This window comes from Homo sapiens, chromosome 1 (assembly GCF_000001405.40).
Source record: "Homo sapiens chromosome 1, GRCh38.p14 Primary Assembly".
NCBI lineage: Eukaryota > Metazoa > Chordata > Mammalia > Primates > Hominidae > Homo > Homo sapiens.
In genome coordinates this window covers 235,519,580-235,533,706 of record NC_000001.11, presented here as the reverse complement: position 1 = coordinate 235,533,706, position 14,127 = coordinate 235,519,580, and the positions used below count along the sequence as shown (strand labels likewise).

Here is a 14,127-nt window from a genome sequence, read left to right as displayed (position 1 = left end):
CTGGGCCCCTCCTCTACAAGGCCAGGTCATGCAGGGACCTAGAAGGGAAAGAGGGGGAGAGCCGGCTGCTGTCACTCTGATGGAGCTGGTGAAGGATGTCCAGCTGCTGTCCCAGGCTAACGCTGGGGAGAAATCACTCTAGACAGCCATCGCGGGGCCAGCCAGAGATAGTCAAAAGGGCATGGTCTTAGCCAGTATACACTGCTATAAAAAACAAATGCCATAGACGGAGTAGATTTTTTTTTTTTTTGAGATAGATTCTCACTCTGTCGCCCAGGATGGAGTGCAGTGGCATGGTCTTGGCTCACTGCAACCTCTGCCTCCCAGGTTCAAGTGATTCTCCTGCCTCAGCCTCCCGAGTAGGTGGAATTACAGGTGCAAGCCACCATGCCCAGCTAATTTTTGTATTTTTAGTAGAGACGGGGTTTCACCACATTGGTCAAGTTGGTCTCGGACTCCTGACCTTGTGATCCTCCTGCCTTGGCCTCCCAAAGTGCTGTGATTACAGGCATGAACCACCGCACCCGGCCAACTGAGTAGCTTATACACAGCAGAAATGTATTTCTCCCAGTTCTGGAAGCTGGAAGTCTGAGATGAGGGCACCAGCATAGCTTCTCGTGAGGCCTCTCCTGGGCTGCAGATGGCCCTCTTCTCACTGTGTTCTCATGTGACCCAGAGCAGAGGGGAGCAAACTGCCTCAGGACTCTTACAAGGGCACTAATCCTGCCTTCCTGACCTCATCTAATCCTAATCACTCCCAAAGGCCCCATTGAATTTTAGGGGGTGGGGTTTCAAGAGATGAGTTTCAGGGAGACACAAACATTCAGTCTATAGCAATGGCTGCAGGAGCTTGGCAGTGTCCAGGCACAAATTATTCATTTAGTTATTGTTTTGGGCTGAATTGTACCTCCTTTCCAAATTCGTATGTTGAAATCCTAAACCCTAATACCTCATAATATAACCATATAGTAGTTCCCCCTTATCTGCAGTTTCACATTCTATAGTTTCCATTACCCATGGTCTACTGCAGTCCAAAAATATTAAATGGAAAGTTCCAGAAATAATTCATACATTTTAAATTGCATTCCATTCTGAGTAGCATGATTAAATCTCATGCCATCCCACTCGGTCCCACCCAGGATGTGAATCATCCCTTAATCCATATAGCCACCCTGTAGATACCCCATGCTGTTAGTCATTTAGGAGCTGTCTTGGTTATCACTGTTGTGATATTATGGTGCTTGTATCCAAATAATTCTTATTTTACTTCATAAGGGACCCAAAGCACAAGAGTAGTGATGCTGGCATATTGTTAAAATTGTTCTATTTTATTATTAGCTACTGTCGTTAATCTCTTACTTATCATAGGTACGTATGTATAGAAAAAAACATGGTATATATATATATATGGTTTGGTACTATCAATGGTTTCACGCATTCACTGGGGGTCTCGGAATGTATCCCCACAGAAAAAGAGAGGCTACTGTGTTTGAAAATAGGGCCTTTAAAGGGATAATAAAGCAAAAATGAGGTCATTAGGGTGGACTTTAATCCAATATGACTGGTATCATTATAAGAAGAGGAGATGAGGACACAGACACACACAGAGGGAAGACCATTTGAGGACATGAAGAAAAGACAGCTGTCTGCAAGCCAAGGAGAGAGAGGCTTCAAAAGCAACCAACCCTGTGGTCACCTTGATCTCAGACTTCCAGCCTCCAGAACTGTAAGGAAATCCATTTCTGTTGTTTAAACCATCCAGTCTATAGTACTTTGTTATGGCAGCCCTAGCAAACTAACACAATGATCAAATCCTTATACAGAGCTTACCAGGTGCCAATCCGTCTTCTACGTACTTTGCAAATATCACTTTATATATGCTCATGACAAACCTGTGAGCACTAGGATTAAACCCATTTTTAAAGATGGCAAAGTGAGGCATGAGAGATTAAGTGACTTGCCAAAGTCACATAAGTCGTAACAGGTGAAGCTGGAACCAGGCTATCCAGTGCCAGAGCACAGGCTCTTAACCACTTTGCTATGCTCTCCCCTTGGAGGAGGTGGGAAAATAGTTGATACTCAAGGTTCACATGAAAACAGTGAGCAGCTGGGGAGGACGACAGAGGAGTTTGAGGGCACCTTGGTGGGTGATGCTGGAGAATGCTGGCAGGTTGGCAGTCATCCTGGGGACAGGAGACATAGAGATGGGAGAGCATGAAAACACACATTCACGTAGCTGGGACAAAGCCACTGGGAAGGCTCACAGGGCCAGGCCCCAGCCCCATGATGGGCCTGCTGGCTAGAGCAAAATCTGGGTTCCTATATTGAGTCTGGAGAACTAGCACTTTCCAGAAAAGAATTTGCAGTAGAGACTGTTTTATTAATAGTGGTTTTAGTACATTTTCTATTGCTTATAACAGAATATCTGGAACTAGGTTACTTATAAGAAATTACATTTATTCCTTACTGTTCCAGAAGCTGGGAAGTCCAAGGTTGAGGGGCTGCATCTGGTGAGGGCCTTCTTGCTGGTGGGGACTCTCTCCAGAGTCCTGAGACAGCTCAGGGCATCATATGGCGAGTGTCTGAGTGTGCTAGCTCAGGTCTCTCTTCCCTTCTTATAAAGCCACCAGTCCCACTCTCATAACCCATTAATCCATTAATTTATTAATTATTAATTAATTAATGGATTAATCTATTCTCAAGGGTAGAGCCCTCATGACCCAATCACCTTGAAAAGGCCCCGTCTCTCAATAATCCCACACTGGGGATCAAGTTTCAACATGAGTTCTTAAGGAGACAAATATGCAAATCATAGCAGAGACCATAGCAGAAGCCTAATTCTGCAAACCAGAACACACAATGGGCAGCAGAGCTCAGGCCTGGGAGGTCCAGGGCAGGAGGCTTATGAGCAGGAGAGGTGGTGGGCTGTGGTCAGAAGGACATTGCAGATGCTTAGCCAGGGTGACGGCCACTGCCTCCCACCTAGATTGAACTCGTCAGCAGTGGTGGAGACAAACCTTTCCAGTGGGGCCAAGGTTGCTTGAGCACAAGTTGGATTAGTAATAACGTTACTGACCACATGAGACTCCGGAAGCCCAACTCTGGCATGCTGAAGGATCAGGAGCAGGGAAGAGTGGGAGAAGCTCTTCTTATAAAGTCACTAGTCCGGCCGGGCGCGGTGGCTCATGCCTGTAATCCCAGCACTTTGGGAGGCTGAGGTGGACAGATTACCTGAGGTCAGGAGTTTGAGACCAGCTTGGCCAACATGGCGAAACCCCATCTAAAATACAAAAATACAAAAATTAGCCGGGTGTTGTGACGTGTGCCTGTAATCCCAGCTACTTGGGAGGCTGAGGCAGGAGAATCGGTTGAACCCAGGAGGCGGAGGTTGCAGTGAGCCAAGATCACGCCACTGCACTCCAGCCTGGGCAACAGGGTGAGACTCTGTCTCAAAAAAAAAAAAAAAAAGCCACCAGTCCACTCTCATGATGGTAGTCCTGCATCCTCTGGGGATGTCCCTCTGCCTGAGAAAGAAGGGGGACCTATGTATATTAATTTTCCTGAAACTTGTTGCTGAGACCAGACGCAATTCCAGTGATAGAAAAAGGCCTGGAAAAGGTTTACTACTGCAAGGGAAAGAATTCCCAGAGGCAAACAAGGTACTTGTTGACCTCAGAGCATCTTGAAGGAGAAGGAGTCTCAGTGGCCATAGAGTCTGCCTTCTCAATCCAGGAAAGGAGTTTCCAGTTCCTTTGAAAACCATTGTCTTCTTAAATGTTGACATGTGGTATTTTGTAAACATCATCAAAGCAGGCTATTACTTGTTTCCGAAGAGGGCAATCCTTTGAAGAGATGAACTTCCAAGCATCTTGGATGAAGAATTCTCATATAAACTCATCCTCGTTGCAGAACCTGTGATGGTTTTGTGATCAATTGTGCATTAATAACATTTTCACTTCCTGTCACTTAAATGCTGATAAAGTTAGATTAAGATATACATATTCTGACCAGGTGCAGTGGCTCATACCTGTAACTCCAGCACTTTGGGAAGCCAAAATGGGAGGATCACTTAAGCCCAAGAGTTCAAGAACAGCCTGGGCAACAAAAGGAGACACCATCTTCACACACAAAAAATTTTTTTAATAGCCACAGGCCCGGCGCGCTAGCTCACACCTATAACCCCAGCAGTTTGGGAAGCGGAGGTGGGTGGATCACTTGAGGTCAGGAGTTCAAGACCAGCCTGGCCAACATGGTGAAACTCCATCTCTACTAAAAACACAAAAATCAGCCAGGCATGGTGGCACCCACCTGTAATCCCAGCTAGTTGGGAGGCTAAGGCAGGAGACTCACTTGAACCCAGGAGGTGAAAGTTGCAGTGAGCTGAGATTGTGCCACTGCACTCCAGCCCCAGTGACTGAGTTAGACTCCATCTCAGAAAAGGAAAAAATAACCGGGCATGATGGCATGTGCTTATAGTCCCAGCTACTTGGGAGGCTGAGGTGGGAGGATTACTTGAGCCCAGGAGTCTGAGGCTGCAATGAGCCATGATTGGGCCACTACACTCCAGCCTGGGCGCGAGAGCAAGACCCTGTCTCAAAAAACTAAAAATTAAAAAAAAACACATATTCCAATAATCATGAATCTACTTTATTAGTAAATAAAGACCCCCAAACCTATTGAGAGTAAATGAACTCATTTAAGAGAATACTGAGCTTAAGCTTTGCCATTATATTTAAATACACATAAGTGATTAATTCAAAGACCTTGTCTCAAAAAACTAAAAATTAAAAAAAAACACATATTCCAATAATCGTGAATCTATTTTTTCAGTAAATAAAGGCCCCCAAACCTATTGAGAGTAAATGAACTCATTTAAGAGAATACTGAGCTTAAGCTTTGCCATTATATTTAAATACACACGTGATTAATTCAAAGACCTTGTCTCAAAAAACTAAAAATTAAAAAAAAAAACACATATTCCAATAATCGTGAATCTGTTTTTTCAGTAAATAAAGGCCCCCAAACCTATTGAGAGTAAATGAACTCATTTAAGAGAATACTGAGCTTAAGCTTTGCCATTATATTTAAATACACGTAAGTGATCAATTCATTCATGATCAGATTGAGTCAGATATTTATAATATATATTATATTTTTAGCCCTCAGGTGACAGCAATATATTACCAAGAGTTTATTTGCTCACCAAAGTATTAACTTGCATATAATTCATGTGAATTTGGGACACATGTTTTACTTCAACACAGCTATTTAGGTTTTTTAGAGCATGTTTGTTTACTGAACCACCAAATGCTGTAATAAACTATCCTTACAGTCTTTGCCTTAATTGGGAGAAAAAATAATAGAAATCTCAAAGAAGAAATTCTTTCTAACACCCAGCCAAATGAAATATATATAACATAAGTAATCAGCGCTAGATTTAGAAGAATTCTAATTTTATAACATATGTGTCACCAGGGTATGCCTTATAAACAACCTAAGACCACACATTTCCTATCAGTTATGAGCTGGCTGTTTGAAGACTAAATAATCTAGCTAAGTAATTTTTTTTTAAGTTTGTTACTGGCTCATGCCTGTAATCCCAGTACTTTGGGAGGCCGAGGCGAGCAGATCACCTGAGGTCAGGAGTTTGAGAACAGCCTGGCCAACATGGTGAAACCCCATCTCTACTAAAAATACAAAAATTAGCTGGGCCTCATGGCAGGCGCCTGTAATCCCAGCTACTTGGGAGGCTGAGGCAGGAGAATCACTTGAACCTGGGAGGCGGAGGTTGCAGTGAGCTGAGATTGTGCCACTGCACTCCAGCCTGGGCAACAGAGCAAGACTACCTATCAAAAAATAAAAAATAAGTTTATTGCCAAGGCATGTGCTAGATCTGGCTGGTCCTGTGTTTGAAGCTGTGTCAGAATGGGGCACATGAAACAAAAAGGCACTGGACCTTGTAAAATGAGGGAAATACTAAGAGCAGCTCACAAGCACGAAGTATTTACCATGCACGATGAAACTGTCACAAAATTCTCCACAAGGTAGGTACTATTATTGCTCCCATTTTATAGATGAGGAAACTGAGCTTGATGTTCTGGTAAATAGTAATGCCCAGGTTGGGGAAAGGGGCAGGCACTGATTTGCAGCATTTGCCAATTTCCATGGTGTGAATACTTCCAATCAAAGCCAATTTCAAGCTACCAATGTAACATCAACAGGCTTGCAACATTCCTGATGTTGGTCTGATTCCCTAGCCAAACAAGTCACTTGCTCAAGTTCCTAGTCACACAATTAGTAAATACTGCCAATCAAAGTAAATTTCAAGCTAATCAGTAAATACTCCCAACCAAAGCCACTTTCAAGCTACCATGGTAACATTTGCAGGCTTGCAACATTCCTGATGTTGACTTGATTCGCTAGCCAATCAACTCACTTGCTCAAGTTCCCAGTCACACAATCCGTAAATGGAGGAAACTGTGATGTGAACCCAGAAAGCCTGATTCAGAGCCTGTGTTCTCAACCACTGTCATCCGCTTTTAGGAAGAATAATCCACGAGGGGAAAAAGAACAGAAAGGAGACCCCAGAGCTCCCAGGGCTGCACCTGAGCAAGAGTAACTGGGTCAGGGCTAGATTAGAGTCAGACTGCTTTAACTGAAGGCTTCAGTAAGAAAAGGAAAGGAAAAGACAAATCATTTAATATCATGAACTCTAAGCAAAAGAAAAATTGACAAATTTGACAGCTCTTCGGTTTGAGGAGATGCTATATCTTTTGTTTCTGGTTTTTTGTTTGCTTGTTTGTTTGTTTTTTGAGATGGAGTCTCACTGTGTCGCCCAGGCTGGAGTGCAGTGGTGCAATCTTGGCTCACTGCAACCTCCACCTCCTGAGTTCAAGCGATTCTCCTGCCTCAGCCTCTCGAGTAGCTGGGATTACAGGCACGCACCACCACCCCCAGCTAATTTTTGTATTTTTAGTGGAGATGGGGTTTCACCATGTTGGCCAGACTGGTCTTGAACTCCTTACCAAAAGTGATCCACCTGCCTTGGCCTCCCAAAGTGCTGGGATTATAGACATGAGCCACCGCGCCTGGCCTGTTTCTGATTTTCTAATAAAAATATCTGCTCCAGAGAGATCCTTAGGTGGTGGGGCAGACAATTAAGCTATCTTTACTTGGTGGAATTGACACAAATTCCTTTAACCTCTCAGAAATGGAGCACAATCAGGAACAGCAGCACTCCACAAACACGGGCCAGGGCAGGGGAGGTCAGTGTTCTGAAACTTTCTTCTTGGCTAATCCTCATTCCTCTTCATTGCTATCAGCAGGATTTTTTGTTTTGGTTTGGTGTTTTTTTTGTTTTGTTGTGAGACAGGGTCTCGCTCTGTTGCCCAGGCTGGAGTGCAGTGACATGATCTCGGCTCACTGCAGCCTCCACCTCTGGGGTTCAAGCAATTTTCCTGCCTCAGCTTCCTGAGTACCTGGGATTACAGGCGTGCACCACCACACCCAGCTAATTTTTGTATTTTCAGTAGAGATGGGGTTTCGCCATGTTGGCCAGGCTGGTCTTGAACTTCTGACCTCAAGTGATCCGCCTGCCTCGGCCTCCCAAAATGCTGGGATTACGGGCATGAGCCACCATGCCCGGCCCCTGTCAGCAGTTTTATGGAATACTTTGGGAAGCATAAAAAGCATTGTTTCCCCAAATCAACTTATGAAGTTCAGACATTTACCACATTTTTATTTATTGTCTACTATGAGGGCACCTTGGCACTCACCAGCAAGGACTGGCATAGTTCCTTTATGTGAGTTTCGGGGTGAAGACTGGCAAGCCTATGGGGGAGTGTGGTCAGGGCTGTCCTGGGAGTGGGTGCAGGGGACCCAAGGGCATGTATAGGAGATCAGCACCCACACTGCAAGGAGTTAGGAGGTGAGGTTTTCTAAACTGAGACCCAGAAGTGGATTCAGGTTTCATGAGGCCTCATGAAATCCAACCCTAAGAAAATGAATACCAGATTACAAAATTGGGTGTCAGGGTTTGGCACAGACCCTGAAGCTTAAGCTTCATTAGCTTCATTGTAAATGCTCCATTTCTGCTAAGACCTGAAAATAAGTAGGAATTAGCCAGGCCAAAGAGCTGTAGGAGCAGAGAGCAGGCAAAGGACTTGATACATGCAAGAACAAGAGAGTGCTATTTCCTGCCTCCAACGTGGGAGTCGAGCTGGCAGAAGTGGAGTGGAGTTCTGACCAGATCAAAGGCAACCCTCAGAGCAAGGCGAGCTGGGCCGAGACAGGAGCCCAAAGAGGCTCTGCAAGGATGCAAAAGGAAGATCCAAAGGACTTTAAAACAGAGAATTGGAGAAAACAGGAGGTAGAAGCTAGTCTTCAACCCAGGGAACTGTTGAACCAAGACCCCTTTTATAAGGATTCTAGGGACCAGTGAGAGCAGAGTGAGCCATCAAGATTACTATTGTAGCCTGGGCGTGGTGGCTTACGCTTGTAATCCCAGCACTTTGGGAGGCCCAGGTGGGCGGATCACCTGAGGTCAGGAGTTTGAGACCAGCCTGGCCAACATGGTGAAACCCCATCTCTACTAAAAATACAAAAATTAATTGGGCATGGTGGCCGGCGCTTGAAGTCCCAGCTACTCGGGATGCTGAGACAGGAGAATCGCTTGAACCCAGGAGGCAGAGGTTGTAGTGAGCCGAGATCGCGCCAATGCACTCCAGCCTGGGCGACAGGAGAGAGACTCTGTCTCAAAAAAAAAAAAAAAAAATTGCTATTGTAATCAGCACAATGTATTATAATACCGAGATTCTCTCTTTTTGACCATGACCTACAAAAAGAAAAACATTTTATTCCACAGCTGAGGACCTACATAAAAAAGTTTCAGAAAGCATCATTACCTCTACTATTTGCAAGGTGCCCTGAAGTTTTCTATACTGTTCTATTTCCCTTGTTGAATGCCGGGCATGGTGCACCAAATTGCTTTCACATGCACCGAAAAATCCTGACCTGCAGTTTGGAAACCACTTTTGCATAATGTATGATTATGATGTCTGGCTGCCTTTGAATTCTCCAGAATCTTATTTACACCTAAAGCACTAGTGGCCAATGTAGATTTTGCTGGAGACTTTACAGGGGTGATGGAAGAGGGTTTTATGTCACCCACAGTTTTATAAGTTCCCTTGGACATGTCTGCCCCCACCAACTGAGGGTGCTCCTCCACCCCACCCCACTGCAGGGCCAGATCCCTTCTGCCCTCCCTCCCCGCCTCCCAGGAACAGATGCATTCCTTTTAGTAATTCACACAGGGCAGCACAGTTGGTTTCTTTCAGCACAATGCACCAATTACTTAACAAGTCATGGAGCCCTAGCTTCGGAAAGGGAATATCAAAGCACTCATCCAACAAAACTGCCTCTTGCAACCTGCTAAAAATTATGATTTCTTCCATATCATTAAATATATCTATTTCCCCTACTGGACTGTGAACAACTTGAGAATAGGGACTTGAGGTACTCAATAGATGTTGAACCAACGTATATGAACGAGTTAGTCAATGAGGTGGGTGCTATCCCCATTTTACAATGAGGAAACAATGGCTCACAGAGATGTGATTAGAACTGTTCAACTGGTGAGCTGAGAACCAGCCTTCAAACGCAAGCCCATGCAGACAGGATTCCTTTAAACCAGACACACAAACAGGTTCTTTCTTTTGTGTGTCCCTGAAGAATCCCCAGAAATGGACCAATGTTGGGGAAAGAGCAGTATGGATCTTACCAATTCTGAGAGGTGTGTTATAGTTTATGTGTTTGCTATTTTAGACTAAGCCAAAGCAAAAAGGTCTTCAGGAAGGATTAACCAAAAGCCCTTCAATTCTATTTCCATTTGATGGGTAAGGGCATTGGGGATATCTCATCTGTAAGATAGCTTTTTTAAACTTAATGAGTGGCCTTGATTACTACGGCAACAAGTGTGTTGATTCTTTTCCAAGTGAGGTTGCTATAGTTTATATCTGAATGAGAATGGCATGATGGTAAGAGATTAAGTGTATCTTGGCATTTACAGCCAACTTACACAAACATATAAAGACCTACATCAAATATACTGCAAGTTTATAAAACCAAAAGCTCGTAATAGTGCAAAAATGTGTTTGGAATTGTTGAGTTAGGCCATCATACAGAATCTGCTTTTCATTTTTCATGATGCTCAGTGGTTTAGCAGACTGAGTTAGATATATAGGCTAGATATATAGAAATTATATATCTAGATATATAGGCTAGATATATAGAAATTATATATATAGAGTTAGATATATAGAAATTTTACAGAGAAAATGTTCAATTCTAGAATAGATCACACAGCAACATGCAGCTGTATTAAAGTACATTTGTGGCCAGGCATGACGGTTCACGCCCATAATCCCAGCACTTTGGGAGGCCAAAGGGGGCAGATCACTTGAGTTCAGGATTTCGAGACCAGCCTGGCTAACATGGTGAAACCCCTGTCTCCACTAAAAATACAAAAATTAGCCCCAGGCCTGGTGGCCCACATCTGTAATTCAGTTACCCAGGAGGCTGAGGCAGGAGAAGCACTTGAACCCAGGAAGCAGAGGTTGCAGTGAGCTGAAATCACGCCACTGCACTCCAGCCTGGGCAACAGAGTGAGACTGTCTCAAAAAGCAAAACAGCCGGGCGTGGTGGCTCACGCCTGTAATCCCAGCACTTTGGGAGGCCGAGGCGGGCGGATCACGAGGTCAGAAGATCGAGACCATCCTGGCTAACACGGTGAAACCCGGTCTCTACTAAAAATACAAAAAATTAGCCGGGCGTGGTGGCGGGCGCCTATAGTCCCAGCTACTCGGGAGGCTGAGGCAGGAGAATGGCGTGAACCCGGGAGGCGGAGCTTGCAGTGAGCTGAGATGGCGCCACTGCACTCCAGCCTGGGCAACAGAGCGAGACTCCACCTCAGAAAAAAAAAAAAAAAAGCGAAACAAAAAATAAATAAATGTAGTACATTGAGATGAACCATTCAGAAGAGTTACTTATGTGACATGGCCATTCTGTCTTCTGTCTTCTCTCAAAGTAGTTTCATATTCTATTAACCTCATCTCAGATGATTACCACGACAGAAAAGAGCCTAAAGTTAAGAGCTGGATAAAACATTGAAGTAACTATTTAACGGCTCTGAAGTCCTTCAAAGCCGCAGAATTGTTCCTATGACACTTTATTCCCCACTCTAGTTCACACTGCAAAAACTCACCATGATGAAAGATAGTATGTGAACCCAGCAATCCTGCTTCTAGGTATAACTGGAAAGAAACCTTCATTTGCACATGGCGGTGGACATACAAATAAGTATGCAGGCCGGGCGCGGTGGCTCACGCCTGTAATCCCAGCACTTTGGGAGGCCGAGGCGGACAGATCGCCCGAAGTCAGGAGTTCGAGATCAGCCTGGCCAACATGGTGAAACCCCGTCTCTACTAAAAATACAAAAAATTAGCTGGGCGTGGTGGTGCACAGCTGTAGTCCCAGCTACTCGGGAGGCTGAGGCAGGAGAATCGCTTGAACCAGGGAGGTGGAGGTTGCAGTGAGCCGAGATCGTGCCACTGCACTCCAGCCTGGGTAACAGTGCTCAAAAAAACAAAGCAAAACAAAAAAAAAAAACTCACCATGATGAAAGATATTATGTGAACCCAGCAATCCTGTTTCTAGGTATAACTGGAAAGAAACTTTCGTGTACACATGGCAGTGGACATGAGAATAAGTAAACAGGACTGTTACAGTGAGCAATGGAAATACCTCAAAGAGGCAACAAGCCCAGGTTTAGGACACAGATTCTGATGTGACAGGTGTGTGACCTGTCTAGGTCACTTACTAGCTTACTAGCCTTGTGACCTTGAGTGGGTAACTTAGCTTCTCTGTGTCTCAGTTTCCTCATCTGTAAAATAAGGAAGGCAAAACTACTACCTGTTATAAAGATACATGAATGAGAATTTGCAAAGCACTTAAATTGAGCCTAGAGGATAAAAAATATTATATACATGTTCATCAGTAGAAAAATGCAAAAATCGACTGTGGCCCATTCATCCAATGGTGCAATCTCACATTAGACGGTAGTTAAAAGGAACCCATTAGGTCTACATATACCAAATAGGACAAGTATCAAAAATACAATGTTGAGCAAGAAGACCAAGTATGTAGAACAATATATATAAAGTATGCTATTCAGGTGAATTTAAAAAAACAAAATAATAATACTCTCTCTCTCTCTCTCTCTCTCTCTCTCTCTCTCTATATATATATATATATATATATATATTTTTTTTTTTTTTTTTTTTTTTTTTTTGAGACAGAGTCTCACTCTGTTGCCCAGGCTGGAGTGCAGTGGCATGATCTTGGCTCACTGCAACCTCCACCTCCCGGGTTAAGTGATTCTCCTGCCTCAGCCTCCCAAGTAGCTGGGACTACAAGCTCCCACCACCATGACCCGCCAATTTTTGTATTTTTAGTAGAGACAGGGTTTCGCCATGTTGGCCAGGCCAGTCTTGAAGTCCTGACCTCAAGTGATCCACCTGCCTTGGCGTCCCAGAGTGCTGGGATTACAGGTGCAAACCACCATGCAAACCACCATGCCCAGCCAACACTACATATTTTTTGCATAGGTGTAGGTACATGTATACATATATGTATGTATATGTTTTTACTTTTTATAATTTCAACTTTTTAGATTCAGGGGTACATATGCAGGTCTGTTACATGGGTAGAGTGCATGATGCTGAGAATAAGTATTGGCTTGACGGCCAGAATATTATGCTTTGCTGTTTAGATATTGGAACAATAGCTAGGATAACAATAGAGAAGACTAGGGCTAGTACCCCTCCTAGTTTATTGGGAATAGAGCATAGAATTGCATAGGCAAATAAAAAGTCTCATTCTGGTTTAATGTCAGGTGGTGTGTTGAGGGGGTTTGCCACAGTGTCATTATCTGGGTCTCCTAGTAGGTCAGGTGAAATAGAACTAATATAAGTAGTAATAGTAGAAGGAGAATTAGACCCAAAATGTCTTTGATTGTGTAGTAGGGATGGAATGGAATTTTGCCAGAATCTGATGAAACTCCTGACAGGTTGTTGGATCCTGTCTCTGGAAGAAATAGAGGGTAGATGGCTACTAGGTCCATGATAATGAAAGGTAAGATGAAGTGGAAGGTGAAGAATGGTGTGAGGTGGCTTTGTCAACTGAAAAGCCTCCTAAGTTTATTGTACCAGGCTGGTGCCAATGTATGGAACAGCTGACAATAGATTTGTAATTACTGTTGCCCCTCAAAAAGATACTTGTCCTCATGGTAGGACACAACCTATAAATGTTGTTGCTATTACTATAAATAGTAACATAATACCGATGTTTCTGGTTTCTAGGAAAGTGTAGGACCAGTAATATAAGCCTTGTCCTACACGTAGAAAGCAGCAGATGAAAAATATCGATGCCCCTTTGGCATGTAAATTTCGGCTAATTCAGCCATAATGCAAATCTCAGCAGATCTGTGTGGCAGAGAAGGATGCAGGTGTTGTATGTGATGTACAGTGTATAGTTAGAAAGAGTCCCATGATGATTGTAGGCATAGACACTTAAAACTGAGCTGAAATTTCATCATGCAGAAATATTTGATGGTGCCAGCAGGTCAATGATATGGTTTGGCTCTATGTCCCCACCCAAATCTCACCTTGTAGCTCCCATAATTCCCACGTGGTGTGGGAGGGGCCCAGTGGGAGATGATTGAATCATGGGGGCAGGTCTTTCCCATGCCGTTTTCATGATAGTGAATGGGTCCAGATACCTCCTGCTGGAGGTGCACCACACCTATAATCCCAGTGCTTTGAGAGGCCGAAGTGGGAGGATTGTTTGAGGCCAGGAGTTCCAGACCAGCCTGGGCAACATAGGAAACCTCATCTCTAAAACAAACAAACAAAAACACTAGCCTGGCATGGTGGCGTGCCCGTAGTCTTAGCTAATCAGGAGGCTGAATGGGGAGGATCACTTAAATCCAGAAGTTCAAGTGTGCAGTGAGCTCTAATCATACCACTGAACTCCACGCTCCAACCTGGGCAGCACAGTGAGACTGTCTCAAAA

At 44.1% G+C, this 14,127-nt stretch overlaps 1 pseudogene, besides 1 other annotated feature; it reads right to left on the bottom strand.

The window, feature by feature from the left end:
* Positions 468 to 1,667: an enhancer, noted in NCBI's record as "P300/CBP strongly-dependent group 1 enhancer chr1:235695340-235696539 (GRCh37/hg19 assembly coordinates)". NCBI's record gives its function as "activates an origin of replication core promoter dependent on BRD2, BRD4, P300/CBP, MED14 and CDK7 cofactors, with strong dependence on P300/CBP, by STARR-seq in HCT116 cells {active_cell/tissue: HCT116}" and the evidence as "EXISTENCE:reporter gene assay evidence [ECO:0000049][PMID:35650434]".
* On the bottom strand, positions 13,022 to 13,736 carry MTCYBP14 (MT-CYB pseudogene 14; annotated as a pseudogene).